At 35.3% G+C, this 25,522-nt stretch overlaps 1 long non-coding RNA gene across 1 annotated transcript in view; it reads right to left on the reverse strand.

The window, feature by feature from the left end:
* Positions 1-3,055: 3,055 nt before the first annotated feature.
* LOC105370604 (uncharacterized) overlaps positions 3,056-25,522 on the reverse strand; it is a 46,058-nt gene continuing 23,591 nt past the window's right edge. Inside the window, exon 4 of the long non-coding RNA XR_944102.1 lies at positions 3,056-3,367. This is a non-coding gene — a long non-coding RNA (uncharacterized LOC105370604). The remainder of the gene's footprint in view (positions 3,368-25,522) is intronic.

Consider the following 25,522-nt stretch of genomic DNA (forward strand, 5'->3'; position numbering starts at 1 on the left):
CATACCTGTAACCCCAGCTACTTGGGCGGCTGAGGCATAGGAATCACTTGAACCTGGGAGGCAGAGATTGCACTGAGCCGGGTTCACATCACTGCACTCTAGCCTGGGCGACAGTGAGACTGTGTCTCAAACAACAACAACAAAAAGTGGTATAACTCTGCTGAGGAAATGTCTCCCTGAGTAGGAGGATGGATATATTTTATTCTTGAAAGCTTTTTGCTCCCTTGCCTCATGACAGCGATAGCTCCAATTATGATTCCCAGTTGGTGGTGGTTTTGTTATGAGGGAATTGAAGTCAGATCCTCAAAGTAACACACAGAATGCTGAGCAAGGATTGAATGGAATAACCCCCAAAAAGCACTTCAACAGTAAACCAAAGACATTCAAACTCTCTTTTTAAGAGTGAAACACTTGTCTCAAAATTTTGAGTATCCAAAAAAGTATTCAATAGCAATAAAAAAGAAATTACAATTTGATGAGTAATTATGCTTGGTAAAACAGAATCTAGGAATCCATTGAAATATACACGAGAGAATATGATCAAATATTTTGCATATTAAGTTATGTTATTAACTGTTTTAAAAGACACACTTCACAATATGATACAACTTTAAAAGGCAATTTGAGAGAAAATGTTTAGTCTCAGGGTGGGTTGCTGGCATGAAATCACCCAAAGGCAGCAATTATTTCTCTATTCTTATTTACTTCATTTCCACTTAACTAGTAATAGTGTGGCAATTAATTTCTAGTTTTCCAAGGAGTATTATTTAAGGTTTTGCTTTTTTAACCATCGCTTATAAATAGATAACTCTGTGGTAGTTAGTATGAAATGTGGTTTTAAAACTTATCAACAGTGGAGTACCTTTACAACCATTTTTAATATGGAACATTAAAAGTAATTTTTTTCTAAGGGTATAGAAAATGCTATGAAGGGTTACAGACTGGCCATTAAAAGCAAGAAAGTAAAACACCACAAGAGTAATGTACCTCTTTATTCATTTAAGTTTTCCATTTATTTTCTTGTTTCTTCTGCTTTTGCTTTTGGTAGTGATGGGGAGGGGTGGGTACTCAGGTGACAGTTTAAGCCCAAGCATTCTGGGTATGATTATTTGAACCACTTTACCAGTCTTATTTTATTATTATTATTATTTTTATTATTATTATTGAGTATAAGAACTAGCTGCTAATTCTCTCTAGACTTTAGGTGAATGACTCATGATAGCAATACATGTAAAAAGGAAGAGAAAGAAAAAAGAAAAATAAGCAGGAAAATAAGCACAGCTCACACATCTGGATCTATGGAGCTACGCTGCCTTGTTTGGCTGCTGGTTGAGAACCAGTCTGGAATCCCACTGGCTAACCTCTGAACTGCTAGAGGCAGGTCTGCTCTACTCACTGTGGACACAATGGACCCCCTCCTAGTTAACAACACTCCTTAAAGCAAAAGCAAGTGAAACGATTCTGGACCAATTAGAGAGGGCATTACTCATGTTCACACATACCATCCTGAGTCTGTATATAAATTGCCACCTTTTACATCATATACATTGACAGTAGCCGAGCAACATAAAGGATAAAAAAATAAAGCTTTGCCACTCCGAGGTGCCTACACATCTGCTGTCTTAGTTCACATTCTAGAATGTTATCGTGGATTAAACATATGGTGACTCCTAAATGTGAAATAAATGAACGTGCAAAAAGGAAATGGAGGACCAGTTTCTCAATTCTAGCAGATGCTCGTAAAAGCACAGGGAGCCCTCCCCAAAAGTAACTTTGAATTAGACAATACAGTCATTTAAAAAAATCTAAGAAAGGAAGTTGTTGACTTTCAAGTTTATCATGGACTTAGTGACCATTGTGAATATGAATTACACTGATTGCCCTTGAAATGTGTTTGAATAATTCTTGGACTTCTGAGACTATGATGAAATTGTCTTTTTGTGTTTTATGGAGTCCTGATTCTTCCCATGCTGCTGAAAATAAAACCAAATTTTATTGAGTGTCTGCCCTGAACAAGCACTATTCCAAGCCTTAGGATAAGCAGTGAGTAATTGACATAAATAATTACTTCTATAAAGTTTACATTTAATAAGAGAAGATTGAAATAAAATAATTGTTCTATAGTGTGTTATAAAGTATTAAGTTTAATGGAAAAAATGAAACAGGTATGAGAGCTTTTTAGAAAAGAAGTCTGTACTGGGTACACCAATCAGAGTCTCTTTAAACTTGAATCTGGATAAGACCACCAAGAAGGTGTAGAAGCTATGGAAGGTAGATAGAAAAAAAGGCCTGAAAAATGATCTGTAGGGTTTTAAAAATTCAAGATGTAAAATTCATAAGGAGGATCCAGCAAAAGAGATTGGAAAAGAGTAAGAGTGATGGTTGAATTTTTGTGTCAACTTGACTGGGCTAAGGGGTGCCCAGATAGCTGGTGAAACACTCCAGATGCCTTTGTGAGGGTGTCTTTGGAAGAGATTAGTATTTGTATCAGTAGGCTGAGTAAAGAAGATCAACCCTCGCCAAGGTGGGTGATCATCATTGTATCTGTTGAGGACCCTATTATAACAAAATGATGAAGAAAGAGTGAATTTCCTATCTCTATTTGAGTGGGACATCCATCTTTTCCTGCCCTCACACCTCAATGCCTGAGATTCTCAGGCATTTGGACTCTGGACATGAACCAGGACTTATATCACACCTCACCCCAGTATCTCAAGTTTTCTAACTTGGATTGAATGACACCACTGAATTTTTTCTGGTTCTCCAGCTTGCGGATGGCAGATCACACAGCTTCTCAGCTTCCATAGTTGTCAGAAACAATTCCTAGAATAAATCTATTTTAGTTTTGTTTCTCTGGAGAACCTTGATGAACACAGTCAGGTAGCATGAAAACAGGAGAGTGTGTTGCCCTGTAAGTCAATTTTGAAAGTATTTAAAGGAGGTAGTGATCACTATGTCAAAAAACATGGAGAGTTTAAATAATATGAGGACAGAGGTTAAAAAAGAGAACATACTGCGATTGTATTATGTACCACTTGAGTCACTACATGATCACAGAAACAAAGTAAAACTATAAAACACAATGTAAAGAAATAGTAATTTTGTTCGACTTTTCGGGTTTCTGCAATTACTTATGGCAAAGTGTCTTGCATTTCTGTCAACAGGTAAGCTGATTTTTCTTGTCTCCTGTCTCTCCCTGGAATGCTGTTTTCCTCTAGAATCGCCTTTTTTTTCCCCCTCTTTTAGGCAGAGAAGGGTATTTCCTTTCTTCCTCTTGCTTAACTGTCTGCCTTCTTGTCCAGGGAATAAAGCCAATGAGAACAGCACTATGTGATCCTGATCTTCATTTACTCAAAACCTGTGGTGTCTTGGAAAAAGTAAGGGCTCATTAGTTTTTATTATTTTTAGAAAGAGGGAAGAAGGGAGATAGAGGGGAGGGGTAAGATGAGAAAGCGGGGGGGAGATAATAGGGGAAGAAAAAAAGGAAATAAGAAAAACATAGATTTGTCTACTAAAATTGTCATTAAGCAAATTTACACAGCATTTAGACATCTGGAGAACTCTTCAGGGAAACAAGGAATGATACCAAGAGCAACCCACATATTTAAAAAACTGTCCTTATTCCCAGCAGACAGCCATTTGTTATCTACTTTATAAGAGTTCCCTGTTAGCACTGCAATTAGTCAAGGGTCAGTCTGTGAGGTCGTTTTAAAATCCCTTCAGCATTAGAAGCAGAATGTTTAATCTTAAACATGTAAGTATACCTGGCAAAAATGCTCTGACTTTACCTTGAACTTCTTCATTGCTTTCATTGTCAAAACAAAATTCAAAGTCTACCTAAAAGAACTATGAAGCTTGTGTTTTTAATGAAGTTACATAAATTAAGAAAAGTTATTACCAATGCTCAAGAATGAATAAAAAAGACAACAATTCTTTCTGAAATGAACTTTCTGAAAAAATTCTATAAATGATTTCACTTTTCTCTGTATCTCACCTCCCCAGTACCCTTCTCTTCTTTCCAACTAAATTTCTGAAGGAAAGTTTATCCATAAAACCAAATAAACTACTTTTCTATTTTTTTCTTATATAAATTAAAGAAAATTCTGTGCTGCCAGCCAAGGTGAGGCACCATATTCAAGATGTGAAATTATCCAAATTCTACACCATCTTGAAAAGTTTCCTTCAAAACGTAGACAATAGCATTTATGGGACTTCTACCCCAAATTAGTTTATAGGCATATTTCCAGATTACAGGCATGATTGTCTAGAGAGGTGAGAATAAAATACGAATGAGATTCTTAACTTTCTTAAACCTTCTCAGTACTCATTTAGCAAACATCTATTGAGCATACACTGTGTACTCAGCCTTGTTCTATGCAAAGGGAACTTTATGCTAGGAAAATAAATACAAATATATAGCTTATAAATTCATCACAATCATCATCAATTTTATTGTCGACATCATTGTTAAAACAGGTAGTATTTATTGATCATTTAATTTGTGTTAAGTAGCATGTAACATATATTAAATCACGTTTTATCTTCCCAAAATAAGAAAGCTAAAACTTGGACAGTTGGAGTAACTTGGACAAGGTCACATTTCTTGTACAAATGGTGCTAAAATTCAAATCCAGGCACTCTGCTACAGAACCAGGATTCTCATTCACAGTGTTCATTGCCTTCTAAGATAAAAGCTTGAAGTCACACAGACCTAGTTCTAAAGTATGTTCTGCCATTTATTAACGAGTACACTCTTGACAGAAAAAATGTAGCCTTTAACCCTAATTTTTTTCTGTAAATGAGGACAAAGTATCAACTTCTTGTGTTGTCTTGAGGGATAAGTGAAAATGGATTTTCAAAGGGCGCACCATAGCCTCTGAAACACAGGAGGTATTCAGTAAGTAGTAACTGTTGTTACCATCTTTAATGGTGGTACATCTCTCCTAATTGTCAAAGTGAGCTCGGTAGACGGTTCCTGCTTTTTTAAAAAACATAAATCAGTCCTCCCATAATTTCAGAGCTGAATCTGAAGTAAACACATTGAATTCCCACATTCCCCAGCAATCCATTCTCATCTACTTTTCCAAAACCTGCCATGTACTGTATTTATTTCATGAAGTTCTTCCTTCAGCACTAAAGTAACTAATTCAACTGCTTTAAATTTAAACTGGTTGACATATTGATTTATAATTGCTCCGGTACAATTTATCTGTGTAAAATTGTTTTCAACAAATAGATGTTAACAAGTCTATCTTAGAAAAATCACATCTAGATTTTCTTAAGTTGGCAAAGAGGGCAAATTCTTCAAACGAAGAGGGGCTTTATTATATACGCACATTACTGGGGCAGAAATTGTAAAGGAAGGAAACACGAGAATAACATACAATCTATTCTCCAAAAGGATTACAATTTATGATGAGGGAGTAAAATAAATATAACCTGAATTACATGTAAAGGCATTTGTTATAGGAGAGCTGAAATTAAAAAAAAAAAAACACTTTGTCATCATGAAATCAACACTCTGTAGCAGGAAGTGTCTGGATTTTAAAGCCATGTGGGTTTGAGTTCAAACTCTGACATAGGTATTATACGTGATATGATCTTGGCTGAGTCACTTATTTTCTCTGAACCTGTAACCGTGTCTGAAAGAGGAAAAGTGTGGAACTTTCCTCAGATTGATCTGTTGATGAAATGAGATCTAATAAGGTGGATTAGAAAATATCTTACCCATTATACCGGACACCTAGCAGTACTCTGCTCACAAAATCAGTTTTTTTCTTTCTTTTACAATTAAAAAATATTGACCCAATATATTCTTGCAGATTATTGGACTTAATAGGAATCATTTATCTGGGCTTTCTGAACTTTCTTCCAGACCTAAAAGCAATGCACAGATATTCTTTAGCTGAACTGCAATTTGCTCTCTCAGCTTTAGCACTTTTTGAGGCTCACCAAAACACAAAAGCAGCCATATGAAAAATACATTTATATCTTCTGCAAAATCTCTGTTGAAGACATTTTCTATTATGTCCCTCAAAGTACCTTTAGTTAATGTCCATCTATAAATTGTGTGTAGAATTCAATGCCAAGAAAGTGTCTACTCTGAAGGATTGAAATACTTCTCTTTGTCTATCAAGAGAATGATCTGAAAGAGATGATGCCACAATGGGTGGACAGGGAGTATCTTTACTTCCTTCTCCCCCTGCAAGAACCTCTATCTTCCCCTTAGAAAACCAACTCCATGGCCGGGCATGGTGGCTCACACCTGTGATCCCAGCACTTTGGGAGGCCGAGGCGGGCGGGTCATCTAAGGTCGGGAGTTTGAGACCAGCCTGACCAACATGATGAAACCCTGTCTCTACTAAAAACACAAAAATTAGCTGAGCGTGGTGGTGCATGCCTGTAATCCCAGCTACTCGGGATGCTGAGGCAGGAGAATCGCTAGAACCCAGGAGGTGGAGGTTGCAGTGAGCCCAGATCGTGCCATTGCACTCCAGCCTGGGCAACAAGAGCGAAACTCCATCCTCCCCGCAGCCAAAAAAAAAAGAAAGAAAAAAGAAAACCAACTCCATAAAAAAAATTATGATGATAGTTCTTAATATGGAAAATGTTTGTTTTCTCAACATTATTCAAAGACTAAAAAAAGTCTCTTTATAAATCTTGCTTAGCATATTGATGTGTAGCAAACAATTGAGGTAAAACAGTGTATTTCCCAGGCAAATACAATTTCTAAGGAAAGGTTTTTAACTGGGTAAAAGACATTTTACTACTTCTGGTTTGGTATATCCAGAACTGTTCCTCAAAAGATGACACACAAATGTCCAACAGGTATATGAAAAAAAATGTTTAACATCACTAATCATCAAAGAAATGCAAATAAAAGCCATAATGAGATATAATCTCACCCCAGTTAAAATGAATTTTATCCAAGAAATGTAATAATGGATGTTGGCAAAGATGTGGAGAAAGGGGAACCCTCCTACCCTGTTTTTGAGAATATGAATTAGTAAAGCCACTATGGAGAACAATATAGAGGTTCCTTAAAATAACTAAAAATAGAACCACCAAATGACCCAGCAATTCTACATCTGGGTATATATAAAAAAGAAAGAAAATCAGGATGTCAAAGAGACACATACACTTCCATGTTGATTGCAACACCTAGATAGATGGATAAATAAAACATGTTACATATATACAATGGAACATTATTCAGCCACAAAAAAAAAGAGTGAAATCTTGACCAGGCACAGTGGCTCACACCTGTAATCCCAGCACTTTGGGAGGCCGAGGCAAGTGGATCACCTGAGGTCAGGTGTTTGAGACCAGCCTGGCCAACATGGCGAAACCCCGTCTCTACTAAAAGCACAAAAAAATATTAGCCGGGTGTGGTGGTGGGTGCCTGTAATCCCAGCTACTCAGGAGGCTGAGACAGGAGAATCGCTTGAACCCCGGAGGCGGAGGTTGCAGTGAGCTGAGATCGTGCACTGCACTCCAGCCTGGGTGACAAGAGTGAGACTCTGTCTCAAAAAAAAGATCTAGTGTTTCGTAGCAAAATAGAGTGACTGTATAGTTAATCAATCAATCAATCAATCCATCTATCTATCTATCTATAGATCTATAATAATATAGTTTATTGTATATTTCAAAATAACTCAAACAGTGAAATTGAAATGTTCCTAACACAAAGACGTGATAAATGCTTGAGGTTATGGATACTCCAATTACCCTAATTTGATCCTTACACATTGTGTGCTTGTATCAAAATATCACATGTACACCATGAGTATATACAACTATTATGTAGCCATAATAATTAAAAATAATACAAATTTTAAAACTTTTAAGAAGAAATATTCTCCATTCTAACCTTTGCTGTTTAGCCCAACTGTCGTTCTGCATCTTGTCACACAAATGACAAAAATCTAGAGTCACAAGTCGTTATAAACATGTTTCTATTCTTCCCTCCAGTATTAACATGCTTACAAAACTTTTTTACTTGTAGAAAACATTTTTCTTTCCTGATTTAAGTCACAATCAAATTGCACAGAATGGCATAAGTTTCTCAACTATATTTCTCAAAACAATAACCAAGTTGGGCTTTAGTGAGAAAGTCTCAGAAAGCTCCTTTTTTTTTCTTCCTCCTGCCCTCAGTGTAGAGAATGTTAAGACTTTCAGATATTACTGCCATAAATAAAAGTACATCTAATTTAATGCCCAACTGAGGTAACTATCTTGTTTCAACTTCCTGTTACAATCACCTACTTACTTTTTAGTCTGCTAGACTAAATAAGTCCTTAGGACAAACCATATCAAATCATCTTTTTTTTGGCTAGGTGAAATTAAATTAGAATACATAAATGGAGGAAACTATAGAAGATTATTAGAGATTTAGGGTTGGAAAAAATGTTAAAAGTCATCTAATATAATCTTCAACTTGATTTATGAGTCCCTTCTAAAAACTCTTAAGTTTGTTGAGGGTAAAGGTCCCCATCATTTATTTTGTTTTGTGTGCCCCCACAGAGCATGACGTTCACAGATCTGCACACAATGGGGTCTCAATAAATATTTTTGACAATTGTTGAAACATATAATACATAACCTTGTTGGACCTAACCTGTCAGTGCCTATTGGTGGATATAAATTATTTCCCATGCGGAATGTCCACTTTGGTAAACCCTACATACTGCAAGCTGATGCTCAAACCAAGAATAGAAACTCCTTCCCAGAACTTACTAAATCATGGTGGATGTTAAGTCAAGAACCGTAATGTTACTTTAATGTAGTAGTTTGCATGTTAATATGATATATTTCTGCTATTAAATTTTAAGAGGCTTTAGGAGAAAAGGTTTTAGCTCTGGATAGAAGACATTTTACTACATCTGGTTTGGCCTTTCAAGAGATATTCCCCAGAAAGTCCTGCAGTCCTCTCATGAAAATCTAGAGAAAAATGTCTTGTTTTGTTCTGACCTCTATTAAGTGAGAAGTTTCACGTAAGGCTAAACTTGCCTGTCTCTGATTCAACTTTCTCACGGTAAAATGCATAGAAGAATGTGGAAGGAAATGAGGGAAGTGTAGTGGGGTTTAAAGATATAAAAACGAAAACCAAAGACTGGTCTGAAGAGAAATGTTTGTTATTAAAGATATTAAAAATGAAACAATGCATTTATTTCAGTGCATTTACAATTACTGTTTTCTGAAACAGCATCACCTTGACAAAAATCTCCACGAGCCCTAAGCTATAAACACCAATCTCCAAATTTGCAAGTGTGGTAAACTGGAACATACCCACATAAAGACAATATAGGTGGCTTGTGACCACACCTGTTACATCTTCAACCCCATGAACAAAACAGAAACTCATTGACCACAGAATTCTCATCCGGAGCAATATTTGCATCTCCAAAGTGCTTTGAGCAAAGTAGAATAGAATTTCACGGCTAAATTGATAGAATATCCATTTGTTTTCATTGCTGAGTATTGTTTCATTGTTGAGTATTTTTGTTTGTTGATCTCCTTGTTGCCCCAAGGAAAGTAGCCAACTATCGTACTAGAACCTCATTCTAAAGTTTCCCTCAGGGTCCATATGAAGGTCTCTATTATAGATTTAAATATATCAATAATGTTCAGTGCTTTCCTGTGGAGAAGTACCATAGAATCATAGAATAGTGGTTAATTTTTTTTTTTTTTTTTGAGATGGAGTTTCTCTCTTGTTGCCCAGGCTGGAGTACAATGGCATTATCTCAGCAGCTCACTGCAATGTCTGCCTCCCAGGTTCAAGTGATTCTCCTGCCTCAGCCTCCCGAGTAGCTGGTATTGCAGGCATGCGCCACCACGCCTGGCTAATTTTTGTATTTTTAGTAGAGATGGGGTTTTGCCATGTTGGTCAGGCTGGTCTCGAACTCCTGACCTCAGGTGATCCACCCTCCTTGGCCTCCCAAAATGCTGGGATTATAGGCGTGAGCCACTACACTCAGCCAATAGTGGTTAATTTTATTAGTTCAGAATTAGACAGGCAGTTCTTTATTAATTACATAAATTTGGACAAATTTAAACTCTCTGAGCTTCAGTTTCCTCACCTGTGAAGTACAAAAGATAACAGCCATGTAGTTGTTGTCAGGATTAAAACATATAATGCATATTAAATGGTTCATGTATTTATTGTCCCATTTTAGGAGCCTAACAAATGTTAACTAATTGCATTGCTATTATTAAAGTTTAAATGAGGTATACTTTTGAACTGTGCATTCTATACATGGTGTGCATGTACATATGTTTGCCATTGTTTCTGCTGTTATGAAATAGAACGGCTGACATTAATTAACTTGGACCCAGATGTGGAACTTTAAAATTTTTAATTTACAGTTTGTAATCCTTCCTCAATCTGACAAAATGACCTCTTATTCTGATATGTCGTTAGATACCCAAAGAAGAAGTTTAAACATCCGAGTTATGGTTCCAGATCCGCCACAGCAATCTTTATTTGTGGTCTCAGTTTCCTCATTTGTAAATGAGTACAGTAACATTTACTCTACAAACCAAATAGGGTAGTTTAAGATTACGATTGGACCAGATTATAAAGGTGAACTCACTCTGATACTTTCTGTCAGTGGAAAAGTCATGGGCCTGGAAATCAATGTGGTTTGGCCCCAACTTCTATCTAGTATTAATAGTATTCAATATCCAGGTTACCGGCTTCATGTTGCTAGGAATCCCTAAAATGAGAAATAAGATGGAGGACTGACAGCAAAATGTCTGAAATCATCTCATTCACTAATATCCTTATTTACTGGTGTGCACCTTATTGGAAGCACTATCTTTCAGTTATTCATTATCTTGACTTTTCCCCACCATGTTTCTAAACTGTTCTCATTAGCTGCTGAGCTAAGCTCTCTGCAGTAGATATTCAGGGGAAGGTGGTTTTCAGCAGATGATGGACATTTACTCCACACCATGACTTTCATCTTTCATTTTCTGCAACTTTGTTAGTGAAGTTCAGGGAAATCCCATTCACAGCATTGAACACTGACTTGTATGCAATAATTATGCAGTACATATTATTTTGATGAAAATGAATTCAGACTAAAAGATTCCAAAGACAAGACATAACTTTAAAAATTATACTTTTTTTTGGAAGGATTTTTGCTCTGCCACCCAGGCTGGAGTGTAGTGGTGTGACCTCGGCTCATTGAAACCTCCACCTCCTGGGTTCAAGGGATTCTCCTGCCTCAGCCTCCCAAGTAGCCAGGCCACTATGCCCAGATAATTTTTTTATTTTTAGTAGAGACAGGGTTTCATCATGTTGGCCAGGCTAGTCTCAAACTATCCTGACCTCAGATGATCTGCCCGCCTTGGCCTCCCAAAGTGCTGGGAATTTTACAATAACTATTAGTGTTGAAAATTTGCCATTCTACAAAAAGTCAGTAGATGTTTTTATTTTGATATATTTATGAATTCCTTTAAAAATTGCATTTTGGCATAACAATTATTTGTACTAAATCAAACTTCTGAGGTAGTATAGTGCCCTTGGTTACATGTTTATTTTTAAAAAATAAAACAACAAGTGTGATTCCTTTCTTTCTTTTTCCTCCCTGGTAAAATTATATGCAAGAAAATGCATAATTTGTTTTATGGTTTATTGCCAATCCAACCATAAGTATCTCTTCCTCTCACCCTCCTGGCCTCACCTTGCTTCAACCTGCTGAGTATTTTCTGTAATCTGTTTATTCATCATGTACAATTGGCAAATGAGATCACTAATTAGTTTATGCATTAATTACATTTCCATCTGTGTTCCTTTTAGAGAAACAGCAACAGCAATGGAAGCTAATTAAGACTAAAGCTGGCCCATTACCTATCCACTGCTTCATTCTCCTTTTAATCCACATGCTCTTTCTTGCCAGATATGTGTGGGAGAACCACACCTTGCAAGTAGTTTAAATGAATCCTTGTGAAGTAAACTTTCACTCTGATTCTCAGTTCCAGTTCACTTTAAGCAGCCAACTGTTAAATGTAGATATAGGTAAGGGTATAGATAGATGCAAATATAGATATCAAGCATTGAAAGTATATAATACAGTGTTATATATAGACAAAATATGTATATGCAAAAGCAATGAAAATTACTTATATGTTACAAATATATAATCTTTTATTGCTCATTTTAATAGTTTTCCTTTGAGAAAAAATACATTTCAAATTTAAATTAAATTAAAATTTATTTTAATTATTGAAAACAATTAAAGGAATAACTTCCTACGTCTAATTTCAAGGATCTGAACTCAATATGCTCAGCTTTCCAGAAAGAGGTATGTAAGTGTGTGGGGGGGGTGTGTGTGTGTGTGTGTGTGTGTGTAGAAAGAGAGAGATGTTGCTGAGATACATTAATTTTTAAAATTCATTTATTTCCTCCCTAAAAAAGCAAAAAAAAAAACCCAAAAACCCCAATAATACATAGTCCTTGTAAGCACTATAATTTGAAACTTTAATTTATCACTAAAAGTTCTCCTCACTCCATTTCTACTCACATATGGCAGAGTAACAACTGCTTAAATGTGATTTGTGCCTTAGAATTTTTTCTGCTTTACCCAACAGGATAATAGATAAGTAGGTATATAGGTAGATACATACCTACATACACTAATCCGTACACGTATATGCACATGTTGTTAAAACGGAATTGGCCAAAAACCACCAGCAATAAACTAGCGTTCTGAGAAAATCAAATTTCTTGACTGAAAGCATCGAGGGCAGACACTCTGGAGGAGCCATGATTTGCCATGTGACCAGAGGGGGAGAGGGAAGCCTCTAGCCATCAACCTGGGCTCCCACTGACCAATACTCAGAAGGCTCTAAAGGACGCTGCTATCGGTTCTAGACTGATTGCTGTCTCTGAGACAAGGTTAGAAGTGGGATTTACCAGATACTAGAAGCTATCGAGAGGCCAGATGAGTTTGCCACTGGGACTCCTCACTAGAAGGTCATCAGGCAGGTCTGAGGGCATCACGAGAAGGAATCAATGGACACTCAAAGAGGAGTCATTGTGGCATTTTCCACATGAATGCCAAGGCTGCATGATCTTAGGAGAAACAATGCTTCCTGGCAACTTGGCAGCAGATTCTATATGCACCTGTCCTTCCAGCCAGCCTGATGTAACAGCAGGGCTGCTTTTCTCTGTTTCATCCAAGTGGATTTTTACCACTCTCTCTCCTCAGTCCCAGATTTTTATTCTTGTAATATATATATCACAAGAGTATATAAATATTAAATATAAATATTTAATGGTCATTAATAATAACCAGAGGCCTTTTTGTACACCTTAGTGAATTCAGATTGCTAAATATAAAAAGTTGCACAAAATATGTATAATATGACCTAATTTCCTATTTTGTAAATTAATAATATAGAGTATGCCTTATATATACAAAGTATTAAAAAATATGTGTGTATGTGTATATATATCACGATTAAAAATCTTTATATAAAATGTATTTATAATATGTAGATATAGTTTTACTCTTGTGATATATATACACATACACATATATGTTTTTACACTTTGTATATACAAAGTATACTCTTTCTATATTATTAATTTACAAAATAGGAAATTAGGTCATATTATATATATTTAGTGTAACTTACTTTTTATATTTAACAATCTGAATTCACTAAGGTAGTACATAAATCCCTGTAGTTATTATTAATGGCTATTTAATATTCAAGAGTAAATTAAAACTGTTTTCCACATTTTCTCCAATTGATTTCTATTTAAAATCATACTGATATGTACACTAAATCATTCATATATATATACACATACATATATACACACATATATATATACACATATACAATACAAACACACGTACATATCCTTAAACACTTCAGTAAGTATTTTTAAGTTATAAATTTTTAGAAAGAAATTACTAAGTGAAAAGAGGCGTATTTAAGTTTTGATTACTCCTGAAAAGTTTTGTAGCCATTATGTTTCCCCTAAAAATGATGGAAAGACATGTTCGCAAAAATTGGATTTTATAAATCCTTTAATTTTTGGCAATCTGATGGGTGTAATTTGTATTTTATTATTATAATTTGGATTGACCTGATCACAAAAAGCTTAGCATCTTTTCATGCTTATTATACAATTATCTGCTTGTTTTCTTCAGCCACTTGCCTTTAATATTTCACTAAAGAAAATTAAGTTTCAAAGAAATAATTCAAGTAGCCTCATTATTACTTACAAAGAAATGTAAATGTTCAAGTAAGATGACCTCAGGTCAAATAGTAAAATCCTGCTTAAGTGATTTTTCTTTCAGTGGTCACAGTCCAAGGAGAAGTTTATTGTTTATAACCCATGCCAAGATCAACATGTTTTATGTTTAATCTTACCACTTATTCATGGTGCAAATTCAGTTTCTCCATTGCAAAGTGGACTTGATACAAATTGCTTTTATACAACAGATAATCATAGGATAAAATAAGATTAGAAATGTGAATTGCTTTGGTGGTGAAATATTGTAATTATTTTAATTTAATTGTAAATTCTATTTGTATACAGTTTTATAGAATATCATCCTATAAACCTAATAGAAGCCCTAAAGATCTCATCTCAAGCCAAGGCCATCTTATACAAATTGTCTTTAAACTTTCAATACAACTATTGGCCATGCTTTTCTTTGTGTTTCTTATGGCTTTAGATTATGTCTTCCTTCTTCCATTTGTTAATTCATATCAAAGTATCTAAAACACTCTAATATATGTAGTAGATACCCTCTAAAGAGATATAAACTAAACAAAATCTTCTCCTTTCCAGAGGTAAAAAACTATTTCCATTATTTGACACTTATAATTGAGAATAACTATTGTCAGATTTTTTTTATTTTATTATTCTTATTCTATTTTTCAAATCTCATCTAAAATCAACTTTTAAAATACAACTTATTACTCTTAATTTACATTCTTTTCAAGTAATATATTTCACTTAATTTATTATCTGAGTTTTTTTTTATTTGGCCCACATTTATTAAAATTGGCAAATTTTAAAATGTTACAAAATAAAATTTAGCTCTGCTCAATATTTTGGGATGCAATGTGTCTCCCATCTCAGACTGTGAGTATGCTGGATTTTCTTCAAAACTTTCTGTGTTTTTTTACTTTACTTTACATTGGTCTACTATCTCATTTAAATGTTAGATGATCCTTTTAACCTTAAGATAGTTAGAGGTTAATTAAATTTAACAAACTCTAAATGATCTTTAACTGCATTGAGAAGAAGGATAGATATGAAAGAAATATTAGTTCTCAAAGATCCTAGATTGTAGATGACAAAATATTAAACTAAGAATAGTTAAAAGTTAAATACTGAAACCCAGGTATTCACTGAAGTGATGTATGTGGCACATTATTGCAGTTGATCAAAATTAAGAGGAGACCTGCCCAAGGAGAATCTGAGCTCAGATGCACCTAGCCCGGCCTCCACCCAGTGGTCCTTCCCTACCCAACCTGGTAGCTTAAGACAAAGGGCATATACTCTTGGGAGTTCTAGGGTCCCACTCACAGCTGGTTCCTCTCCATACTACCACAGCTGATGCTCCCTGGAAAGCACCACCAGCACAAAAATAGGGCATTAAATCACCAAAGCTAAGAACCCTCACAGAGTCCATTTCAACCCCCTGCCACCTCCACCGGAACAGGTGCTGGTATCCAAGGCTGAGAGAACCATAGATGGTTCACATCACGGGACTCTGTGCAGACAACCCCCAGTGCCAGTCCAGAGCTTGGTAGACTTGCCGAGTGTCTAGACCCAGAAGAGAGATAACAATCTCCACAGCTCAGCTATCAGGAAACCACATCCATAGGGAAAGAGAGATAGTATGACATAGAGAGAACAGCCCATGGGACAAAAGAATCTGAACAACAGCCTTCAGCCTTACACCTTCTCTCTGACAGAGCCTACCCAAATGAGAAGGAACCAGAAAACAACTCTAGTAATACGACAAAACAAGGCTCTTTAATACACACACAAAAATCACACTAGCTCACCAGCAATGGATCCAAACCAAGAAGAAATCCTGATGTACCTGAAAAAGAATTCAGGAAGTTAGTTAGTAAGCTAATCAGGGAGGCACCAGAGAAAGGTGAAGCCCAATGCAAGAAAATCCAAAAAACGATACAAGAAGTGAAGGGTGAAATATTCAAGGAAATAGATAGTTTAAAGAAAAAACAATCAAAACTTCAGGAAACACTAGATACACTTACAGAAATGCAAAATGCTCTGGAAAGTTTCAGCAATAGAATTGAACAAGTAGAAGAAAGAAGTTCAGAGCTTGAAAACAAGATTTTAGAATTTACCCAGTCCAACAAAGACAAAGAAGAAAGAATAAGAAAATATGAACAAAGCATCCAAGAAGTCTAGGATTATGTTAAACTACCAAGCCTAAGAATAATCTGTGTTCCTGAGGAAGGTTTGGAAACTATATTTGGGGAAATAATTGAGGAAAACTTGCCCAGCCTTGCTAGAGACCTAGACATCCAAATACAAGAAGCACAAAGAACACCTGGAAAATTCATCACAAAAGGACCATCACCTAGGCACATTATCATCAGGTTATCTATAATTAAGACAAAGGAAAGAATCTTCAGAGCTGTGAGACAAAAGCACCAGGTAACCTAAAAATGCAAGGCTATCAGATTAACAGCAGGTTTCTCAGCAGAAATCATACAAGCTAGAAGGGATTGGGGCCCTATCTTCAGCCTCCTCAAACAAAACAATTATCAACCAAGAATATTGTATCCAGTGAAACTAAACATCACATATAAAGGCAAGATACAGTCTTTTTCAGACAAACAAATGCTCAGAGAATTTGCCATTGCCAAGCCACCACTTCAAGAATTGCTAGAAGGAGCTCTAAATCTTGAAACAAATCCTGGAAACACATCAAAACAGAACCTCTTTAAAGCATAAATCTCACAGGACCTATAAAACAAAAATACAATAAAAAGCAAAAACAAGAAATAAGAAACCAAGGTATACAGACAACAAATAGAATGATGAATGGAGTGGTACCTCACATCTCAATACTAACATTGAATGTAAATGGCCCAAATGCTCCACCTAAAAGAGACAGAACTGCAGAATGGAAAAAAAAATTCACCAACGAACTATCTGCTGCCGTCAAGAGACTCACCTAATACGTAAGGACTCACATAAACTGAAAGCAAAGGAATGGAAAAAGGCATTCCATGCAAATGGACAACAAAAGGGAGGTGGGGTAGCTATTCTTATATCAGACAAAATAAACTTTTAAAGCAACAGCAGTTAAAAAAGACAAAGAGGAACATTACATAATGGTAAAAGGCCTTGTCCAGCAGGAAAATATCACAATCCTAAGCATATATGCACCTAATACTCAAGCTCCCAATTTATAAAAAAATTACTACTAGACCTAAGAAATGAGATAGACAGCAACACAATAAGAGTGGGGGACTTCAATACTCCACTGACAGCACTAGACAGGTCATCCAGACAGAAATTCAGCAAAGAAACAATGAATTTAAACTATACCTTGGAACAAATGGACTTAAGAGATATATACGGAACATTCCACCCAACAACCGCAGAATACACATTCTATTCAACAGCACCTGGAGCTTTCCAAGATAGACCATATGATAGGCCACGAAATGAGCCTCAGTAAATATAAGAAAATTGAAATTATATCAAGCACAGACCACAGTGGAATAAAACTGGAAATCAGCTCCAAAAGGAACCATCAAAACCATGCAAATACGTGGAAATTAAATAACCTGCTCATGAATGATCATTGGGTCAAAAGTGAAATCAAGATGGAAATTAAAAAATTCTTCGAACTGAACAACATAGTGACACAACCTATCAAAACCTCTAGGCTACAGCAAAGGCAGTGCTGAGAGGAAAGTCCATAGCCCTAAATGCCTACATCAAAAAGACTAAAAAAGCACAAATGGATATTCTAAAGTCACAGCTCAAGGGACTAGAGGAACAAGAACAAACCAAACTCAGCAGAAGAAAGAAAATAAACAAGATCAGAGCAGAACTAAATTAAATTGAAACCAAAAAAATACAAAAGATAAGTGAAACAAAAAGCCAGTTCTTTGAAAAGATAAATATAGATGACAGACCATTAGCAAGATTAACCAAGAAAAGAAGAGGGAGAAAACAAATAACCTCAATAAGAAATGAAATTGGAGATATTACAACTGACACCACAGAAATACAAAAGATCATTCAGGGCTACTATGAACACCTTTACACACATAAACTGGAAAACCTAGAAGAGGTAGAGAAATCCCTGGAAAAATACAACCTTCCTAGCTTAAATCAGGAAGAATTAGATACCCTAAACAGACCAGTAACAACAGTGAGATTGAAACTGTAATTTAAAAATTACCAACAAAAAAAGTTCAGGACCAGATGTGTTCACAGCATAATTCTACCAGACCTTCAAAGAAGAGTTGGTACCAATCCTATTGACACTATTCCACAAGATAGAGAAAGAGGGAACCCTCCCTAATTCATTGTATGAAGCCAGTCTCACCCTAATACCAAGTGAGCAGAATAAACAGACAACTCAGAGTGGGAGAAAATCTTCACAATCTGTACATCTGACAAAGGACTAATATCCAGAATCTACAAGAAACTCAAACAATCGGATCATAAAGTATGCTAAGGACATGAATAGAAAATTCTCAAAGAAAGATATACAAATGGCCAATAAATATATGAAAAAAATACTCGACATCACTAATGATCAGAGAAATGCAAATTAAAACCACAATACAATACCACCTAACTCCTGCAAGAAAGGCTACAATCGAAAAATCAAAAAACAGTAGATGTTGGCGTGGATGCAGTGATCAGGGAACACTTCTACACTGCTGGTGGGAATGTAAACTAGTACAGCCACTATAGAAAACTTTGTGGAACTAACTAACTCAAATGCCCATCCATCAACGAGTGGATAAAGAAACTGTGGTGAATGATGGAATACTACTCAGCCATAAAGAGGAATGAATTAACAGCATTTGCAGTGACCTGGATGAGACTGGAGACTATAATTCTAAACGAAGTAACTCAAGAATGGAAAACCAAACATTGTATGTCCTCACTGGTATGTGGGAGCTAAGCTATGAGCATGCAAAGGCATAAGAATGATACGATGGACTTTGGGGACTTGGGGGGAAGGATGGGAGAGGGGCAAGGGATAGAAGACTACAAATAGGGTGCAGTGTATACTGCTCGGGTAGTGGGTGCACCAAAATCTCACGAATCACCACTAAAGAACTTACTCATGTAACCAAACACCACCTGTACCCCAATAACATATAGAAAAATAAAAAAATTTTAAAAAGAAACAAACTATGGATACATGCAATGTAGTAGACAGAATAATGCTCCCACCTCCCCCAAAAAGATGTATACTCTCTAATCCCCATTACATGGCAAAGAGTCTTTGCAGGTTATTCTGGATTTTTCAGGTTGATTCAATCTAATCACAGAAACTCTTGAAAGCAAAGAATTTTCTGTGGCTATAGTCAGGGAGAGATGCAGCAGAAGTCAGAGGGATCCCAAGCATGAGAGATACCCTATCTGCCATTGCCGGAGGTGCACCACATTAAGTATAGGAAGGATGTAGGCAGGCTCTAGGAACAAAGACTGGCTCCTGGCTAACAGCCAGCAAGGAAATAGAGACCTCTGTCCTACAGCTGCAAGACACTGAACTTGGCTGACAACCTGAATTAACTTGGAAATGGATTCATCCCAAGTCTCTAGAAAGGAACACAGGCCTTGTTTTAGGCTTCATGAGATCCTAATCAGAGGGCCCCATTGAGCCACCGTTCCGAGACTTTTGATACTGAGAATGATAACTAAGACAAGAAATGTGTGAGACAATAAATGTGTGTTGTTTTAATTAAAAAAAAAAAAGTAAAAGGAGACAGCTGAGTTGGCAGAGTTAGGGAGCAACTGTGATCGTCTTGGATTAGTCTTTGAGTAGAAGAACATTAGAGGCACAAAATGTATGGAAATTCACTTATGGAAAAAGTAGAAGGTAGGTACAGTGATAAAAGTTAAGTATTTGACATGATAGTAAATTAGAAAATGAATATGACTAGATTTAGGAAACCTAGGTTAAAACCAGGAAGTTTTCCTTTCAGTTGTGTGACATTAAGAAACTCTTAAGTATATTCAATCTCAGTTTCTCCAGTGTAAAAAGAAAGGAAATTTACAACACATATTTGGATAGGTAGCTCTCATACACTGCTAGTGGGAGCAGAAATTAGCACAATCACATTGGAAAACTATTTGGTCACATCTACTAAAGCTGAATATATGCATACTACCTGAGCCAGCAATTCTTCTCATAAGGGTACACTCGAAAGAAATGATTCAATGGGTTCGCAGGGCAATACATACAAGAATTTTTATAGCAATATTATTCATAATATCTAAAAACAAGAAACATATGTAGTTAACAGTAGAATGGGTGACTTGATAGATTAATAAATGGAATACTGCACAACGTGAGAATGAATAAACCCTACTACATGCCATGAAAGGCTAGATTTTGAATTAATCTCACAAACACAATGTTAAACAAAAGAAGCCAGATGCAAAAGTACAGACTATGGAAATCTATTTATGTAAAGTTCAAAAGTAGACAAAAATGCTCTATGGTGTCAAAAATCAGGAATGTGACTATCCTAGAGGTCTACGTTATGGGGAGTACGAGCAGGGGTCTAAGCAGTCTTCGGAGATTCGTTACATGCAACAATTTGGATAAATCTCAAAGGCTGTAGGCTGAGTGAGGGGAAAAAACTAATCTCAAAAGCTCACAGACTATATTAATCTATTTATATAGCATTTGTGAAGTAACAAAATTACAGAAATCAACAGATTAGTGGTTTCTAGGGATTAGACATGGAAACTGGTGGTCAGAAGGGAGTGGGTACAGTAATAAAAGATAAACATGAGATATCCTTGTGGTGATGGAACTGTTCCTGTATTGACTATGGTGGTAGATACACAGATCTACACCTCTGATAGAATGCGTAGAACTACACACACACACACACAAATGAATACAAGTAAAACTGAGAACATTTTTTGTAAGATCAGTGGATTGTACCAAAGTCCATGTTCTGGTTGTGATATTACACTATAATCTTGCCAGATGTTACTATTGGGGGAAACTGCATAAAAAGTATAAGGGATCTCTTTGTGTAATTTCTTACAACAACATGTGGATTGATAATTTTCTCTAAATGGAAAGATTAATCAAATTTTGTGGCAGCAAGAGTTTGATAATATACTAATATTCTTAGCAACCAAAAAAATGTTTTTTCAGTTTTAAATTGATGAGATCCCTCATTTAATCTAAGTCTATTAATGCATAATCAACAAAAGCGTAAAATTCAATTAGGATTTAAGTAATATATTAACATTAGTATTTCTAAAGTTGTACTTCTATGCTATTAAAGAATCTTGAAGAAAGAATGTGTTTACTTAGGTGTGAGTCTGGGAATGTGTGTGTTAGGGCATCACTTATTACAGTAAACAAAGGGAACAGAGAAAAATTTGTCTGTGGACTTCCAGCCCTATTACAAGGAGTGAGTACACTGTCCAGCCAACATAAATATGTCCAGTCCATCTGGTAAACATATCCCTTTAGTGGAAAAAGTGCCTTAATTTAGTTTTTGAAAACTACATTTCTGATTATAAAGTAAGAAGTAGTAGTAAATTTGGAAAATCAGAAACATAAAAGGATGTTTAAATTGACCTTATAAACACTATTTTCATACTATTTTGTTTTAGATATGTATATTTTTGCAATGAGTTTTATGTTGTATGCAGTACCTCTTTCACTTATTCTGTTTGAATATTTTTCCCTGACATGAAATTGATTTTTTTAATGTTATTTGTAATGGTTATATAATGAACCCTATGACAGAAATATCAAAATTAACCAGTCTTATATTTCTTGAGTTAAGGCTACTAAATTTCTGTTTTCAAAAGTAATGTTCCTCATTCCTTAAGTATGAGCTGTACATAGTGACTTCCTTCCAAATAATACAGTATGCAAAGGGAGGGAGAAATGTGTAAAAAATAGAAAAACCTGAAGAAAAAAACTACCTCAGCCAGGTAATAAGATTGACAGCAAGAATGGTAACTCATCTTGATAGAGTTCACATTTGATATGATGTGGTGAAAACGATACTCTGTCTTTGTGGTCTTCCTCACAAAACCAATAAACCCGGTCTAATCATTACAAAAACATCACACAAATCCCAGTTGAGGTTCATTCTGCAAAGTTCCCAACCAGTACTTCTCAAACTATTCAAGGTCATTCAAAAGCAAGGTGAGTCTGAGAAGTCACCAGAGCTAACGAGAACCCAAGAAAATATGACAACTAAATGTCATGTGGAATCCTGGAACAGAAAAAGGGACATTAGGTAAAACTAAGGAAAAATAAATAAAGTATGTACTTTAGTTTATAATAATATGTCAATATTGGTCCATTCATTGTGACAAATGTACAATACTAATTTAAGATGTTAATAATATGGAAACTGAATGCAGGATATATGGGAACTATCTTTGCAATCATTCTCCCAGCCTAAATAAAAAGCCTGTTTAAATATAATGTGAAGACTTTAATAAAAAAAAGTTTTCTAGCAATTTTTCTAATGAAAGTTGCTCGAAAGAATACCATTTGGTCTGTAACTTTGAACATTGTACTTCTCTGGAAACATGTTAACAAATTATTTTTCAAAAGTTAGTACTTTCTAGACTTGTGCTTTCATACAATTATGTGGACACCTTTATCATCACATGTACAGTGCGTGTTTTCTTTGGAATGACAACAAACAAATTGCTCTTTTTCAATGGTAAAGATGTCAGTCAGGGTAGCAATTTATTGAAATACTTCATAGACATTTGTATTTCTTTTTTAATATTTTTTTGGTCACCAATATAAGTATGTTTTAATTTTTTTTTCCTTTTTTTCGGCTTTTAAGTTCAGGGGTACGTGTGCAGGATGTACAGGTTTGTTGTACAGGTAAACGTGTGCCATGGTCGTTTACTGTACAAGATCATCTCATCACCCAGGAATTAAACCCAGCATTCATCAGCTATTTTTCCTGATATTCTCCCTGCACCCGCCAACCCCACAGGTGCCCAGTGTGCATTGCTCCCCCTGATGTTTGTATTTCATAAGGTATAAAGTATTGTTTCTCCTCTACTTCTTAAGTTTGCATTTAAAAAAAAAAAAACTCTCCAAACATATTAAGGCTATTCTTCCTTCATTTGTTTCAAAACATTTTCTTTAATTTCCAATTGCAGTTATGGTCCTTTCTGAAGCACAACAGACTTAAATTTCTATATAGGCTAATTTATAGCATTTTTTCTTTGTGAATTCTGATATCTTTACACAACCGTGCTTCATCCTTAATTTAAGTAAATTTCCATCTATTTTGTTCTGATTTTTATTTTATTCATTATATTTTATTTATAATTGTTTCTATTTGTATGTGGTTTGTGGAGCCTTTAATTAAAGAAATTAGCAACTTTGCGAGTGTTAAGTATAAATAATGCTTATTTTCCTACAGAATCTGCCTCCTGGTTTGTTCACAACATTGTCTATTTTGTGACTGCTTTATTTGATAGATCTGTAGATTTTTGTTTCAATACTGAAATCCTTTAATTTTTATAGTTTCATTATACATGTATGTAACTGGTGATAAATAGTAGAGTACAGAGTAGTTTTTATACTTACAAATTTTTCTTTACAGTTCTCAATAATGGAGTCAGTCACAAATTCATATTGGTGAATTCAAAAAAAAACTATGATTTTTACTAGATTTGCATAAGATCTAAAAAAAGAAGAATTGGTTTATCATATTCAATTTTCCCATCTGTGGACTTGATATGTCTCTCCATTTTTAAGTCTTCTTTTGAATCTCTCAGCAAAAATATTCAGATGAGTTCAGTTTAGAAGCATTCTTGTTAAGATTACTTCCAAGTATTTAAATTTTTGCTCCTGTTATGAATGGACTCTTTTTCAACATTATATTCACTAACTGTTGGTGATATAAGACACCTGTCAAGTTTTGCACCTTTACTATTTATATAAATAAATTGAATTTACCTCTTAGTTCCAATAGTTTGATTCTTTTCTATTTTCCAGAAAGAAATTCTTTTCATATACAAGTAATGATAATTTTGCATTTTTCTTAATGTTAACCACAGATAGGATTTTAGTTTCCTGGTCTATTACACTGCTAGACAGGCCAAAACATATTTTAAAGCAATAAGCATTTTTTGTCTGATTTTAATGGGATTGCTATTATGTATTCGAAGTAATAAATAACCTCGTATGTTGACTTTGATAATTGTATTAAAATGCTTTCTCTCTTTTTCTCTGCCCTGGAAAAAATGGTCAAGCATGGGAATCCCTTGTAACACTAAAGTCTGAAAGAACATATCTCTGAAACTGTCTTTTAATCTTGTATTATTAAAGGGCTTATAGTTCCTTTGACACATTTTTACCGGTCTCGATACCGTTATTGAGCCCTTTTAGTCTACCTAGAATGGCTTTGTTTGCTTGGTTCTTGCACTTCCTACAGAGTTAAACTCTGTATGACACCCTCCAGAAAGCCGTTAGAGATATGCTGTTTCCCTTACCCAGCACAAGACTAAAACTCTTTCTGCATGGTCTGAAATATCTTATAAATAGAGCTAACCATGCAACACACAACTCTGAAATTATTTGCCCACCTGTCCCTAAACATCACCTCTTCAAGGGATAGGGACTTCATATTATTCAACTGCCTACTGGCAGGGACAACCACAGTGCCTGACAAAATGTTTTTAAACTATTCTAAAGCAAAAAGTTATCCTAATACTGGAAAGGTACAATTCTAAAGGCAAGTCATAGATATTATGTTCTATTTGTCATGTGTCTCCACTTGAGTTTTCTAATTACAATTCATCCTCCTGTGGATAGCTTTTATCCCCAGTTCTTACATTTATAAAAGAAGTTTCTACCAGTTTACTAGTTTAGTAATTACAACATACTAAGGATTTTGGAAAAATAACCAAGCCCTCATAACAAACCTATAAAGTAGATGTTATGATTTTGATTTTATAAATGTGGAAATGGCTCAGAAAGTCTTGGTGAGTTGGAGAGCTCAGAGTTGAACCCAAGATTTTTCTGACTTCAAAGCTGAGACCTGTGACTCCTCTGTTTGTACACTCTTCCACTGTAGTAAAAAAAAAAATTTTACTCCCAAGATAATGACTACTTGGAGTTCATTGTATCAATATAAAGTAGACCAGAGATGACACTCCCAGACTGAAGTCTAGAGAAAACCTCTTAAGTTCTTGGAATGTGAGAGTGCACAAGTCAGGGGCCAAGAATATTCATGTTGAAGAGATTGTTTGGAATTGTATTGAAATGATCTACTGAGCTCCAAGAAAAAAAAG

Source organism: Homo sapiens, chromosome 14 (genome assembly GCF_000001405.40).
Source record: "Homo sapiens chromosome 14, GRCh38.p14 Primary Assembly".
In the NCBI taxonomy this organism is placed as follows: domain Eukaryota; kingdom Metazoa; phylum Chordata; class Mammalia; order Primates; family Hominidae; genus Homo; species Homo sapiens.